The following is a 15,391-nucleotide window of genomic DNA, read 5'->3' on the forward strand; positions in this document are numbered from 1 at the left end:
ATAATAGAACAGTCGGTATGGGGAAGACAGAACAGATAAGACAGGGGAAAGGCAAAGTTGAGTTTTTATGCTTAGTGTGGTGATAACTGCTCTTTAGAAGAGATGGTGACTAGTTGAATTCTAGGTATGACCAACGGAATAAGGGCAAAAATGTCAAGAATTGCTCCTTATATATATGTGTGTACATATACACACACACATATATATATACACATATACACATATGTACATGTATATATATACATAAAAATATATGTATATACACACACACATATATATGTAGTTTAAAGAACAATTATCACCATACTATCTGTATTTCTTTTTTCAGAGTGAACCTCATTCTGTCGTCCAGGCTGGGCTGCAGTGGTGCAATCTTGGCTCATTGTAACCTCCACCTCCTGGGCTCAAGCGATTCTCCTGCCTCAGTCTCCTAAGTAGCTGGGACTATAGGCACATGCCACCATGCCTGGCTAATTTCTGAATTTTTTTGTAGAGACGGGGTTTCGTTCTCTGGTCAGGTTGGTCTCAAAGCTCCTCATATTTAGAGTGACTATACATCCCTGTTTATTGGAACAATCCCTCTCTAGTCTGCAGTCCTAGTGTCATTAATAATAGTGTCCCCAGGTTGGGCGTGGTGGCTCATGCCTGTAACCCCAGAACTTTGGGAGGCTGAGGTAGGAGGATCGCTTGAGGCCAAGAGTTGGAGGTTACAGGGAGTTATTATTGCGCCCCTGTACTCCAGCCTGGGTGACAGAGCAAGACCTTGTCTCTAAAAATAAATAAATAGTGTCCCCTTTCACAATAAAAAACTCTCAGTTTGGACAATACATTATTTGGTCATCCTGTTCATACTTTACCTATTTGCTAATAATCCTATGATTGAAAGACTAATTCAACTCACCTAGTTTTATGGGACAATAAGCTCATTGTAAGTAAGGTCCTTATCTGATAATTATTTATATTTCCTGTGGTATCTACTAGCACAGGACTTTGAACCTAATATATGCTCACTGGATATTGATTAAGGGAAAAAACAAAAGAAAAGAAATACAGTGTGCACAGGACTTCCCAACTGTGTTCCTCTGACGTTTTCCAAGAAAAAAGGTTTCCGTGATCAATTAAATCCGGGCAATGCCACATACTCCATTCTCTCTCTTGGGGATTTAGCATACATTTACAGAATTGTTAAAAAATTGCCTTGTGTCTCTAGTTTTTAAATTTAACGGAAATGGATTTTTGTCATCGTGTGAGAGTGGGGATCCCTCAAGGCCTGTTAATTCTCGACCTTGCCTTCTGCTGCCTCCCTTGTTGAAAGGCCCTGGATTTTCCTTTACACCACTGCTGTAGGCAAAAGTCATGGGGCTAAGTCAGTCCCAGGAGGGACACTGACTCTTCTTTCATGGATAATCCTTTTCCCCTGGCACTCAGGTGGGATCAAAACCGAGTCATCCACTATTCCGGGGGAGATCTGATAGCTGTGTCATCTAATCGAAAGATCCATCTTCTGGACATCATACAAGTGAAAGCGATACCCGTTGAATTCCGAGGCCATGCTGGGAGTGTCCGGGCCCTCTTCCTGTGTGAGGAGGAAAACTTTCTCCTAAGCGGGAGCTATGACCTAAGTATCAGGTGAGGAGTCCAAAGGCATCATGATCCCTGTCCCACCTAGGGCCTAGAGGCAGCTCATGGAAGAAGTGTGCATGCTTCTTCTTTTTATATTTAACAGTTTTCCTAGAAGATACTGACTTCTAGAATACCTTCAGCTTTTTTTTGGCAAGGAAAAAGTCAGGAATGTATATATTGCTTAAAATTTGAATGAGATGGATTTATAACAGTTATCAGATATATTTTCTAATTGATGACTGCAAATCAGAAAAATTTTCTTTATTAGCATTCTTAGAGGAAGAAATAATTTACATTTGTTCTTACAGACTCTTTCAGGGGAACGTGGTTTTTATGGGTTTGAGACAGACTATAGAGGCAAAATAGTGCTTTAAAAACACATACGTGGCCAGGCGCGGTGGCTCACGCCTGTAATCCCAGCACTTTGGGAGGCTGAGGTGGGCAGGTCACGAGGTCAGGAAATCAAGACCATCCTGGCTAACATGGTGAAACCCCGTCTCTACTAAACAAAATACAAGAAATTAGCTGGGCGTGGTGGCGGGTGCCTGTAGTCCCAGCTACTCGGGACGCTGAGGCAGGAGAATGGTGTGAACCTGGGAGGTGGAGCTTGCAGTGAGCCGAGATGGTGCCACTACACTCCAGACTGGGCGACACAGCGAGACTCCATCTCAAAAAAAACCACATATGTATATTTTTAAACAATATAACAAACACTCATGCATCCATTACTCAGGCCAAGAAATAAGATACCACCATTCCCCAACCCTCCCACTGTGCCCTTCTCTTCTTGCTTCTTCCTGCCAACCAGAGGTAATATTATTCTAATTTTATACTAATGATTCCCTTGCATTTCTTAATCATTTTTGCTTCCTTCTTATACATCTCCAGAAGTATTAGTTACTTGTGCCTGTTTTTGAACTCAACATAAAAAGAATCATATTTTAAAAATTTGTTGGTACCTCATTCTTACATGGAACTGTTTTTGAGATTCACCTATATGATGCAGGTGGCAGTAATTAACTTATTTTCACTGAGATACTGTATTAAATTGGATGATTGTATCGTAACTCATTTATTTGTTTTTCTGTTGGTGGACATTTGCATTGTTTCTAGTTTTTTGTTTTTTTTTTTGAGATGGAGTCTCACTGTGTCACCCAGGCTGGAGAGCAGTGGCGCCATGTTGGCTCACTGCAAGCTCCACCTCCCAGGTTCACACCATTCTCTTGCCTCAGCCTCCCAAGTAGCTGAGACTACAGGGGCCCGCCACCACACCAGGCTATTTTTTTTTGTATTTTTTAGTAGAGAAGGGGTTTCCCCATGTTAGCCAGGATGGTCTCGATCTCCTGACCTCGTGATCCACCCGCCTCGGCCTCCTAAAGTACTGGGATTACAGGTGTGAGCCACCGCGCCGGGCCCTTGTTTCTAGTTTTTAATTATTTCAAAGAATGCTGCCAGAGACGGGTCTTGGATGTGTCCCCTGGTGCCCATGTGCACGAGTTTTTTAAAGGTATATTCTTAGTATGGGAATTTCTAGGAAGGAGTACTAAACTGTTTTCCAATGTGGTTGTATTAATTTACATTCCCATTAGCAGCATATGAGAATATCTCTTCTTATATATTCTCACCAACACTTACTATTGACAGTCTAACAGTTTTGTCAATCTGATGGGTATTAAATGAAACCCACTGTGTTTTATTGGGGTTTAAATTTTAACTTTCCTGATTACTAATGAAGTTGAACACCTTTTCATATGTGTATTAGTCAGGGTCTCCAGAGAAACAGAACCAATACAATGTGTATATACATAGGAGATTTACTATAAAGTATTGACTTGTGTGATCAAGGTGGCTGGCAAGTCCAAAATCTGCAGCGTGGGGCCAGCAGGCTGGAGACCCAGGAGAGCCAACGGTGCAGATGAAGCCCAAAGGCCATCTGCCAGAGAATACCCTCTTGCCAGGACTATCTATTAACTGTGTTCATAGTATCTACATGAATTTTGTTGAACAAAAATTCTCAATATGGGCCAGGCGCGGTGGCTCATGCCTGTAAGCCCAGCACTTTGGGAGGCTGAGGCAGGCGGATCATCTGAGGTCGGGAGTTTGAGACCAGCCTGACTAACATGGAGAAACCCCGTCTCTACTAAAAATACAAAATTAGCTGGGCATGGTGGCACATGCCTGTAATCTCAGCTACTCAGGAAGGCTGAGGCAGGAGAATCACTTGAACCTGGGAGGTGCCACTGCACTCCAGCCAGGGCAACAAGAGCGAAACTCGGTCTCAAAAAAAAAAAAAAAATCTCAATATGAATGTAATAAAATATCAGTTTATCAGGGTTTTTTTTTTCTTCATTTCTGTGATTCTTCCCTCTTCTAGGTCATAGAGATATTTTCTAATATTTTCTTCTATCAACATTACAGTTTTATCTTTTGCATTCAGTTTTTTAATCTCTTTGCAATTCAACCTTGTATGTGGCATTAGGTAGGGTTTCCATTTCATTTATTCATATTTAGATAAAGTGAGCAGTTTCTCCCCCACAGCAACTACTATATAACCTGCCACTTCCTGCATTGATTTGAGGTGCTATCTTTATCACATTGAAATTTCCCATATGTGCATGAGAATGTCCCTGAGTTCTCTGATCTAGTCCACTGCCTTTCTGTTTTTAATCAAAATCCCCCTCCTTGAAAACTGTTTGTTTTGTTTTTAGGTATGCATTTGGAGAATGTTTTAAAATGTGACGGGGAGGGAAATTCTACTTTTCACTTTTCTTTTTTTTTTTTTTTAAGACGGAGTCTCGCTCTCTCGCCCAGGCTAGAGTGCAGTGGCGCGATCTCAGCTCACTGCCAGCTCCGCCTTCCGTGATCATGCCATTCTCCTGCCTCAGCCTCCCGAGTAGCTGGGACTACAGGCACCCGCCACCACGCCTGGCTAATTTTTTGTATTTTTAGTAGAGACAAGGTTTCTCTGTGCTAGCCAGGATGGTCTCGATCTCCTGACCTCGTGATTCGCCCGCCTCGGCCTCCCAAAGTGCTGGGATTACAGGCATGAGCCACCGCGCCCGGCCTCACTTTTCTTTTTTATGTAACAGCTATAGTATATAAGTTTTGAGTTTTTGGAGTAAGTTTACCAACTTTCAATAAAACCTAACTAGACTTTATTTGGGTTGCATTGAATTTATAGATTAGTTTGGTAAACACACTCAATTAGATCATCTGTGTTCTTTCTTAGAGCCTTAAAGTTTTCTTCATAAAAGTCCTGTGTATTTTTACTTAATGCCTGTACAGTTATAATTTTATTACTATTGTGAATGGTATCTTAATTTTGCTTATATTTTCAAATTAGTTATTGCTGGCATAGAGAAATGCAATTGATTTTTGTAAATTGATCTTGTGTCTGGCATCCTTGCCAAACTCTCTTATTAGTTGTAAAAGCATGTATGTTTCATAATTGGTTTTTCTTTTTCTTTTTCTTTTTTTTTTTGAGACGGAGTCTTGCTCTGTCGCCCAGGCTAGAGTGCAGTAGTGCGATCTCAGCTCACTGCCAGCTCCGCCTCCTGGGTTCATGCCATTCTCCTTCCTCAGCCTCCCGAGTAGCTGGGACTACAGGCGCCCACCACCACGCCTGGCTAATTTTTTGTATTTTTAGTAGAGACGGGGTTTCACTGCGTTAGCCAGGATGGTCTCGATCTCCTGACCTTGTGATCCACCCGCCTCGGCCTCCCAAAGTGCTGGGATTACTGGCGTGAGCTACTGCACCTGGCCAATAATTGGTTTTTCTACGTAGACAATCCTATCAACTGCAAATGACAATATATTATCTTTTTTTTTTTTTTTTTTGAGATGGAGTCTCGCTCTGTTGCCAGGCTGGAGTGCTGTGACGCGATCTCGGCTCACTGTAACCTCCGACTCCCTGATTCAAAGGATTCCCCTGCCTCAGCCTCCCGAGTAGCTGGGACTACAGGCATGTGCCACCACGCCCGGCGGCTAATGTTTTTTTGTATTTTAGTAGAGACGAGGTTTCACTATGTTGGCCAGGATGGTCTCAATCTCCTGACCTCATGATCTGCCCACCTCGGCCTACCAAAGTGCTGGAATTACAGGCATGAGCCACCACGCCCGGCCGACAATATATTATCTTCTTTTCTAATGCCTATACCACCTTTTGTTTTTCTTTTCTTCTAACTTTGCCTAGGCCTTCCAGTGCCATGGCAGGCAGTAGCAGTGAGAGTGGGCATCTTCATCTTGTTCCCCTTCTGGAAGGGAATACATCTACAGTTTCTCCACTGAGCATAATACCTGCTGTTATGACTTTGGCTTATACCTTTTACTAAATCTGGAAAGTTCCTTCTTTTCCTATTTTTCTAAAAGTATTTATCAAATACCTTTTCTTGCATAAATTTAAAAAACCAACCTGAAGACATATACCACCATATTGCTAGAAACAGAAATTCAAAACATGCTTTCTTTCAGAGCACTGTGCCATCATTCAATGCACTGTGGCTGCATTGTAGGCTCTGAGAAACTGGTAAGGCATTGGTAAGGCTGCAAAACCCTTGGGAATATTAGAAGAAAAAGCTTTAACATATCCAAAAAACTACAAAGACATATTAATCGTTTTTATGTGCCAAGCCTCACAATAACTCTGTGAAGTAAGTACAATTTTTTTTTTTTTTTTGAGACAGAGTCTCACTCTGTCGCCCAGGCTGGAGTGCAGTGGCGCCATCTCGGCTCACTGCAAGCTCTGCCTCCCAGGTTCACGCCATTCTCCTGCCTCAGCCTCCCGAGTAGCTGGGACTACAGGCACCTGCCACCACGCCCGGCTAATGTTTTGTATTTTTAGTAGAGACAGGGTTTCACCATGTTAGCCAGGATGGTCTCGATCTCCTGACCTCGTGATCTGCTTGCCTCAGCCTCCCAAAGTGCTGGGATTACAGGTGTGAGCCACCGTGCCCGGCTGTTAAGTACAATTATTATTCTCAGTTTACAGATGAAGAAACTGAGGTAAGTGGTAGTTCAGTAATTTGCCCAGAATCACACAGCTAGTAAGTGATGGCCCTGGGAATGGACTTCAGGCAGCCTTCTCCAGAACCATTATCTCAGCATTCTGCTTTGTCCTGTCTCAAAAGCAGCCTACCTGAAGCGGAAGCATCAATGGCAGTTGAGAGACCTTGGGCAAGTGTTCTTGTTAAAAAACAGATAATTCATCTTTGCTCCCATCTATCTCTTAGATATGCTCTATATGTACATAAATATTTTGGATCTAAGTGATTGGTAAAGGATTCTGTTGCTCTTGTTTGCAGATCCACTGTACCGTGGAATCAGTGCCATGGATTCTAAGGCTGGTGGTCATTCAGGACGCTTCTATCTAAAAACCACCTGACACTGATCAAGCATTTTGTACATGTTAGTCACTATTCCAGTGTTATCTCCACTGGTGCAGGGTTTCTCAACCTTGGCACTATTGCCATCTGGGGCTGGGAAATTCTTTACTGTGGGGCCTGCCCTGTGCAATGTAGGATGTTTAGCAGCATCTCTGGATTCTATGCACTAGATGCCAGTGGCACCTCCTTCCCGGCTTGTGACCACCAAAAATATCTCCAGATATTTCCAAATGGCCTATGGGGGTAGAAGTTACCCAAGATTGACAATCACTGTATTAGTCCATTTAATTCTTCACAAAAACCCTATGATGTAAATACTCTTTTTTTTTTTTTTTTTTTTGAGACAGAGTCTCGCTCTATTGGCAGGCTGGAGTGCAGTGGCACAATCTCAGCTCGCTGCAACCTCTGCCTGCCGGATTCAAGCAATTCTCCTGCCTCAGCCTCCTGAGTAGCTGGGACTACAGGTGCACACCACCACGCCCAGCTAACTTTTGTATTTTTAGTAGAGACAGGGTTTCACCATGTTGGCCAGTATGGTCTCAATCTCTTGATCTCATGATCTGCCCGCCTCAGCCTCCCAAAGTGCTGGGATTACAGGGGTGAGCCACTGTGCCTGACCAACGACTCTTATTATTATTTCCATTTTATCAATGAGGAAAGGAAACGTAACACAAAAATTAACTTCCTCAAAGTTACACCAAATAGGTGCTGCAGCTGGGATTCAAATCCAGGCCCCTGACTCTAAGCTGAACCATGAGAATCTGCTGCCTCCCAACTAACTACTTATCTACATGGGTTCTACGCAGTATGATCCTCTGGGCCCTCAGGAACTCTCACATTCTTTTGGCCTGATTCCTGCAGATACTGGGATCTGAAAAGTGGGGTTTGCACACGAATCTTCGGTGGTCACCAGGGGACTATCACTTGCATGGACTTGTGTAAGAACAGGCTCGTATCTGGAGGAAGAGATTGCCAGGTAAAAGGTGAGAAAGAAGTGCCTTAAATTTTCTAAGAAGTTTCCCCCGACCCACGGGTTACCAAAATGCTTTGTTTTGCTCATTTCTATAGGCAGGCAGTCATTTATTCTTTATCATCCATCCATCCATCCACCCACCCACCCATCCTTCCTTCCTTCCATCTATCAATCAATCCATCCATTCAACAGCTGTCTGTAGAATACCTACAACAAGCTACACACTGAGCTAAGTGCTGAGGAGAAAAAAAATAATAGGATATGGCCCTTTAGATTTAACTTTTTATTTCTTCAAAGGGCTCATTGTCTCCTAATGGAAGCAGATACATAAATATATAGTGGGGAATATAATAAGTCCATGAACAACAATGGCTGCCATTTACTGAGTACCAGTTTTGTGACAGATGCTTAACATACATTATTTAATCCTCACTAGAGCCCCATTGGTAATTTTATAAATGGGCCAAGATATATACATAAAATATAAGTGAAGGAAAGCATACTTACATAGTTAGGGCTAACCGAGCAGAAATGATTAAGCACATGGCCTCTGGATCCAGACTCCCTAGGTCCAAATCCCGGCTCTGCCACTCACCACCTGCAAGACTTGAGCAGGCAACCCAACTTCTCTATGCCTCAGTTTCCTCATCTGTGTTGTGGGGAATAATAATAGTACTTGTCTTGTGACGATGAGCATGTCACACACCTTGAGTCATCGCCGGCTGTTAGTGCCATGCAAGTGTCAACTCTGGTTGTTGTTATATTTTGTCTCAGGCCACTTGTCCTGTTGCCTGAGGAAGAAGGTGCTTTTGGGGAGCACCTTTGAAGGAGACTTTAATGTTTTCATTCCTGAATTCATAGAGATCACTTTCAACTTCTTCCTTTTTTTTTTGAGATGGAGTCTTGCTCTGTGGCCAGGTTAGAGTGCAGTGGCACAATCTTGGCTCACTGCAACCTCTGCCTCCCGGGTTCAAGTGATTCTCCTGCCTCAGCCTCCCGAGTAGCTGGGACTACAGTCGCACGCCACCACGCCCAGCTAATTTTTTTTTTTTTTTAGTAGAGACGGGGTTTCACCATGTTGGCTAGGCTGGTCTCGATTTCCTGACCTGGTGATCCACCTGCCTTGGCCTCCCAAAGTGCTGGGATTATAAGCATGAGCCACTGGGCCCGGCATTAACTTCTTCATTTTAGAAAACCCTGTTCTGCCACCCACCCACCCACTCTCATCCCCACTACAAGATGCCAGGCAGTTGCTCTAACACAGTCTGTGTTGAAGCAGCAGTAAACCCACCCCTAGCTGTGACCATTTCTCCATAAAATTGAAAAGTCAGATTCAGAAGTATTTAAAAATGTAAGTGAGGGTAGATGACCTTCTTTCATTTTGGGGATAGAAGGTGTGGGTCAGGAAGACAACATCTGGGAAAAATGACAACACTACATGTATGCCATGATTTTCTTTTTTTTTTTTTAATTTTACCTGCCCCTACTCAAGCTGTATGCCATGATTTTTATGAAATCTACTCGATAGCAAGCATTTTTCAGGCTTGAGGAATTAGCTGATTAGAGATGAGCTGTCTAGCACTTGGGCCTCAAGGCTAAGTTCCAGGGCCATAGCCAAGGTCTTCTGGATTGTGGGCTCCCTCAACCACCTGTATTCAGGGCGCTCTGTGCTGTGGGCACATGAGCGGTTGGTGAGCCTGCTCTGCGGAGGTGCTAGGCCACGGGAAGTCCTTCTAGAATCTGACTTGATGGGCTTGATGAGTCTTTGCTTCTGTGATGGGGAGCAGAACTCCACTGTAACCTTTCCTTTTCCCCCTTTTTCCCCACTCCCATGTCTTCCTCTCTCTCCCTCCTGTTCAGTATGGGATGTAGACACAGGGAAGTGCCTGAAGACGTTTAGACACAAAGACCCCATCTTGGCCACCAGGATCAATGATACCTACATTGTGAGCAGCTGTGAGCGAGGGCTGGTGAAAGTGTGGCACATTGCCATGGCCCAGTTGGTAAAGGTAAGTGGGCAGTGGGCTACCTTGGCGGAAAGGGCACTGGGGAGGAGATGGGTGGGCTCCCCCTACCTAGCTCCTCAGGTCATCCTAGAGCAACTGAGTATGACCTTCAAGAAGGACAGTCCTGAAGCTCTAAAGGGGAAGGCCCCAAAGTGAGGCATTCAGAGTCTGTGGAGGGTAGGGGCTCCACCACCCACATCATGACCCACGGTATCATGGGGTTGGTAGAGGAAGGCTGCATTCTGACTCAGCATGAGATATGGGCTCAGGGCCTTCTAACAGCAGTGGAGGTGAAGTACCTTTTTCTCCTCCAGAGTATTGCACTCTGTAGGGCCAGGCGCAGTGGCTCACACCTGTAATCCCAGCACTTTGGGAGGCCGAGGCAGGCGGATCATGAGGTCAGGAGTTCGAGACCAGCCTGACCAACATAGTGAAACCCTGTCTCTACTAAAAAAAAGAAAATACAAAAAATTAGCCGGGCATGGTGGTGGGCGCTTGTAACCTCAGCTACTTGGGAGGCTGAAGCAGGAAAATTGCTTGAACCAGGGAGGCAGACGTTGCAGTGAGCCGAGATCATGCGTCTCAAAAAAAAAAAAAAAAAATTCTGGCATGGGGTGAGGGGATGAACAAAGCATTTTTTCCTAAGAAGAAAACACTGGGGGATGAACAGAGAATTTTTTTTTCTCCATGCTCTCTAATGAAGAGAGAACATGGATGGTCTTGAAAGTGATTGGATGGTCATGAAACATATTCTTGCTGGATCTGAACCCCTAGCCTTAGCGGGTGGTGTTGATATATGATTTGCAGCAGGAACACAGGATCACAGTGAAAAGTGGCTGGCTTGGCCTGTGGAATTTCCCCACCAATCTTGTCACTATGGCCAATCCAGCGGTTGCAGGCACAGGGATGGCCCATGTGCACTCTGGGTTCTGGCAAGGAGCTGGGATGGCACACCTTACCTTCGTCCTTCTCACAGCAAAGGACAGTGATTTCTGGCCCTCTCTAGTGCTCCAAGAAGGTAGTGTCTGTCCCAAACACAGACCCACCAGGAGCAAGGCCCCACCCTGATCCCATTCCTCCTTAACCCGAGAGAGAGCTCTATGTGGAATGGACTCCATTGGCCTTCTTTTTTTCTTTTATTTTTTCTTTTCCTTCCTTCCTTCCTTTCTTCCTTCCTTCCTTCCTTCCTTCCTTCTTTCTTTCTTTCTTTCTTCTTTCTTTTTTGAGACAGAGTCTCACTCTGTCACCAGGCTGGAGCACAGCAGTGGTGAGATCTTGGCGCACTGCAACCTCCATCTCCCTGGTTCAAGCGATTCTCCTGCCTCAGCCACCCGAGTGGCTGGGATTACAGGTGTGTGCCACCATGCCCAGCTAATTTTTGTATTTTTAGTAGAGACAGGGTTTCACCATGTTGGCCAGGATGGTCTCAATCTCCTGACCTTGTGATCCGCCCGCCTCGGCCTCCCAAAGTGCTAGGATTACAGGCATGAGCCACCGCACCCGGCCTCCATCGGCCTTCTTAGAGCAAAAGCAGGATTAGCTCAGGTACCTACCGAGTGACTGGCAGTCACAGATTGGTGGGGGGTGGCTTTGGGATTCATCTGAAGAAGCCTCAGCTTTGGTTCTTGGAGGAGTCACAGTCTGAGTTGAAGACAGTGGTATCTTTTCTTGCAGACTCTCAGTGGCCATGAGGGAGCCGTGAAATGCCTGTTCTTTGACCAGTGGCATCTCCTCTCAGGAAGTACTGATGGCCTGGTCATGGCCTGGAGCATGGTGGGGAAGTACGAGCGCTGCCTGATGGCCTTCAAGCATCCCAAGTAGGTGCCTGTGAAGCCCGGAGCGATGAACCTGGTGTCCTTCCCTTCCCCGTCATAGCCTAGACTGCAATCATTGGCAGACCTTCTGCTCCCTGTAGACATCGTGTTCTCTGCACCTCACCCTCTCTGCTTCCCTCCTCTTCCACCTGGGACCCATTTTTCCCCACCATCTTCTCTGTCTGACTGTTAACCTCTTCTACTCTCCCTTGTTTTCTTGTGAAGTAACTATAGAAACTGGGGGTTTTGAGAAGTTATTGATTTTTTTTTTTTTTTTTTTTGAGACAGAGTCTCGCTCTGTTGCCAGGCTGGAGTGCAGTGGCGCAATCTTGGCTCACTGCAAGCTCTACCTCCTGGGTTCACGCTATTCTCCTGTCTCAGCTTTCTAAGTAGCTGGGACTACAGGCGCCCACCACCACACCCAGCTAATTTTTTGTATTTTTAGTAGAGATGGGGTTTCACGGTGTTAGCCAGGATGGTCTTAATCTCCTGACCTCATGATCCACCCGCCTCAGCCTCCCAAAGTGCTGGGATTACAGGCGTGAGCCACCTTGCCCAGCCAATAATACTATTTTAGAAAGAATCAAAACATTAAATAATTCTCAGCATGACTATTGTATAAGTAAACGCTAGGAATCAAATTGCAAGAGACAAACATGATCATCTATATGTTAGATAAAAAAAAGATTGTGACATCAGCCTTTTTGTTTTGTCATCTTGTGGCCCTGTGACCTAATTGCGGGGAAAGTAGCTGCAGAATGGGAAGAGGTATGTCTTGAGAGAAGCTCACGGTTTACTTCCACAATTATAAAATGACAGCAGGCCGGGCATGGTGGCGCACGCCTGTAATCCCAGCACTTTGGGAGGCCAAGGTAGGTGGATCACCTGAGGTCAGGATTTCATGACCAGCCTGACTAACATGGTGAAACCCCGTCTCTACTAAATACAAAAAAATTAGCCAGGTGTGGTGGCGCATCACTGTAATCCCAGCTACTTGGGAGACTGAGACAGGAGAATCGCTTGTATCTGGTAGGTGGGGGTTGCAGTGAGCCAAGATCGCACCGTTGCACTCCAGCCTGGGCAACAAGAGTGAAACTCCATCTCAAAAAAAAAAAAAAAAAGACAGCAAACACCATTTTGAGGCCAGTTATGGCCAGTGCTGCTCAATCACACACAAAATGCTCCCAACCTACAAACAAACCCAGGCATTTTACGAGAGGATGGGTACTGCCTGCTACTCTGTTCCCTTCCAGGGAGGTGCTCGACGTGTCCCTTCTCTTCCTCCGGGTCATCAGCGCCTGTGCAGATGGCAAGATCCGAATTTACAATTTCCTCAACGGGAACTGTATGAAGGTGTTAAAAGCCAATGGCAGAGGTGATCCTGTGCTGTCCTTCTTTATTCAGGGCAACAGGTGGGTGGTAGGTGTGGAGGTCAGAACTGTGAGTGATTCTGTTGGATTTTTTGATTTTTTTCCTCCCCTGGGATACCAGCCCTGGATTTGCTGTCAGGAGGAGAGAGTGTGCAATGCCTCTCTACAATTCTGGCTGGGTGGAGCAATAGTCTTGTGGTGGGGACTAACAGGGCTTTGCACAAAACTTAGTAATCAGGAAGCAATCAACTGTTCATTTTGACTTTTTTTTTTTTTTTGAGACATAGTTTCACTCTGTCGCACAGGCTGGAGTGCAGTGATGTGATCTCGGCTCACTGCAACCTCCGCCTCCCGGGTTCAAGCAATTCTCTGCCTCAGCCTCCCGAGTAGCTGGGATTACAGGCGCCCACCAGTATGCCCGGCTAATTTTTAGTATTTTTAGTAGAGACGGGGTTTCACCATCTTGGCCAGGCTCACCTTGAACTCCCGACCTCGTGATCCACCCGTCACGGCCTTCCAAAGCGCTGGGATTACAGGTGTGAGCCACCACGCCCGGCCTGTTTTGACTCTTAATTCATCCTAGGTGTTTGTGGGAATTGCAGTGGGTGCAACATAACGCTTCTGTAAGGACCACAGTTCTACCAATGTGCAGCCCCTGCTTGCTCTTTGATCATGCCTTTGGCTGCCTGAGAGCTCTATCAGCTATCTTTGATGCCTCACTTCTAATGCAAAGAGACATTATAGGAGAGTGGAGGGTGGCAGCAGCAGGGGGTACAGTGGGGGAAAGCTGAGCTGGTGAGCTTACAAAACCAGTACCATGACTGACTGCATTGTATACAGTACTGTGCTTTATATATGCGTAGACTCAGGGTGCTATTATATGAAAATAACCAAATAGAACTAACCTGTAAATTCTACTTCAAGCTCACTTGAGACATCTCTTAATGTCCCTAAACCATATTGCCTTCCTTTTAGTGAAACTTTATTAGTATTATTTACCATCTTAAAGAGGGCAGCCTGGTAATAAGGCTCAATTAATGAACACTTTTCAGTCATGCTGCTAAAAAAAAAAAACAAAACAAAACTCTGGCCATTTTTTACTCACAGCATCCAAAGAAAGGTGTTTTTCTTTCGGCTTGAGTGAACGTAAGTCTAAAAGGGATTTCTTATTGGAATGACACCCCGCATTCCATTCCAGCAGTTCCAGCCAAAACAAGTTACTTTTCTAGAGAGTTTATGCTGTTGGTTAAGGTCTTAACACTGCAGCCTTTTGAAGCAGAAAGAAACCTGTGCAGAGTATTTTCATTTCTTGTTTATAGTTAAGGGAAGAGCACAGAAAGGGGAAAGCCGCTTGCTTGTAAAACTGGTGGGTTAGGGAGGCAGTGCTGTGGGGGCACAGGAAGGGGACAGGGAGGGCAAGTTCCGGAGCTCTTTGTCTATGGAGCATTAAAGTGGGGATCAGAGAAGTTAGAAATCATCTCACTTTATAAAGTATAGATGTTCTGTCTACATCTAGAGTGTGTGCAGAGATCCTGGAGTGACAGCATGGAGTGTGTGGTGTCTGCGTGGAGGGTCTATGAAGGAGAAGAGGCCTCCCCATTAGAGAGCTTTCCTCATTCCCAGCAGCAATAGTAATATTGGGTTTGGAAGCTGTGCTTAAAACAAACAAAGAAACAAAAACACTGAATTTCAAGACATCTGTGTGCAGAGTACCTTCTTGGCACCCTAGGTACGTGGCACTCACTCCAGGAACAGAAATTCATTTAAAAGCATTTTAACTTGAGGCCAGGCGCAGTGGCTCGTGCTTGTAATTTCAGCACTTTGGGAGGCCCAGGTGGGTGGATCATTGAGTCCTGGAGTTTGAGCCCAGCCTGGGCAACATGGCGAAACCCTGTCGCTACTAAAAACACAAAATGAGCTGGGCGTGGTGGTGCGTACCTGTAATCCCAGCTACTCAAGAGGCTGAGGCACGAGAATCGCTTGAACCCAGGAGGCGGAGGTTGCAGTGAGCTGAGATCATGCCACTGCACTCCAGCCCGGGTGACAGAGCGAGACTCCTTCTCAAAATAAAAAAATAAAAATAAAAAATAAAAAAGCATTTTGACTTGAGAAGTGAAACAATCGGAACATATGTGCCCCGATCATGTTTATTTTTTAAAGAAAAGAGTGACAAAGCTAACGACTCCTGCTGCATCTCCTGGTAACTTTCACCACTCTCCACCCT

The 15,391-nt window shown here is 45.1% G+C and overlaps 1 protein-coding gene across 19 annotated transcripts in view, besides 1 other annotated feature; it reads left to right on the forward strand.

Moving 5' to 3' along the window:
* The window catches only part of FBXW10 (F-box and WD repeat domain containing 10), a 35,296-nt gene that overhangs the window by 12,823 nt on the left and 7,082 nt on the right, over positions 1 to 15,391 (forward strand). For 14 of the 19 annotated variants that reach the window (NR_051988.2, XM_017024020.3, XM_047435121.1 and 11 more), the window contains 5 exons: positions 1,429 to 1,629; positions 7,866 to 7,987; positions 9,838 to 9,986; positions 11,658 to 11,800; positions 13,051 to 13,209. Coding sequence is in view for 18 of the 19 variants with exons in the window: in XM_017024020.3 (XP_016879509.1) it covers positions 1,429 to 1,629; positions 7,866 to 7,987; positions 9,838 to 9,986; positions 11,658 to 11,800; positions 13,051 to 13,209 (774 nt within the window). In the remaining variant the exon portion in view is untranslated. Of the gene's footprint in view, positions 1 to 1,428; positions 1,630 to 6,594; positions 7,027 to 7,865; positions 7,988 to 9,837; positions 9,987 to 11,657; positions 11,801 to 13,050; positions 13,210 to 15,391 lie in introns of those variants that run through there. The other 5 variants (XM_047435132.1, XM_017024021.3, XM_047435130.1 and 2 more) reach the window with 3 other exon arrangements.
* Positions 13,666 to 14,166: an enhancer, noted in NCBI's record as "OCT4-NANOG-H3K4me1 hESC enhancer chr17:18673855-18674355 (GRCh37/hg19 assembly coordinates)". NCBI's record gives its function as "activates a minimal SCP1, AML or CMV promoter by ChIP-STARR-seq in naive H9 embryonic stem cells {active_cell/tissue: H9 hESC(naive)}" and the evidence as "EXISTENCE:reporter gene assay evidence [ECO:0000049][PMID:30033119]".

Source organism: Homo sapiens, chromosome 17 (genome assembly GCF_000001405.40).
Source record: "Homo sapiens chromosome 17, GRCh38.p14 Primary Assembly".
In the NCBI taxonomy this organism is placed as follows: Eukaryota; Metazoa; Chordata; class Mammalia; order Primates; family Hominidae; genus Homo; species Homo sapiens.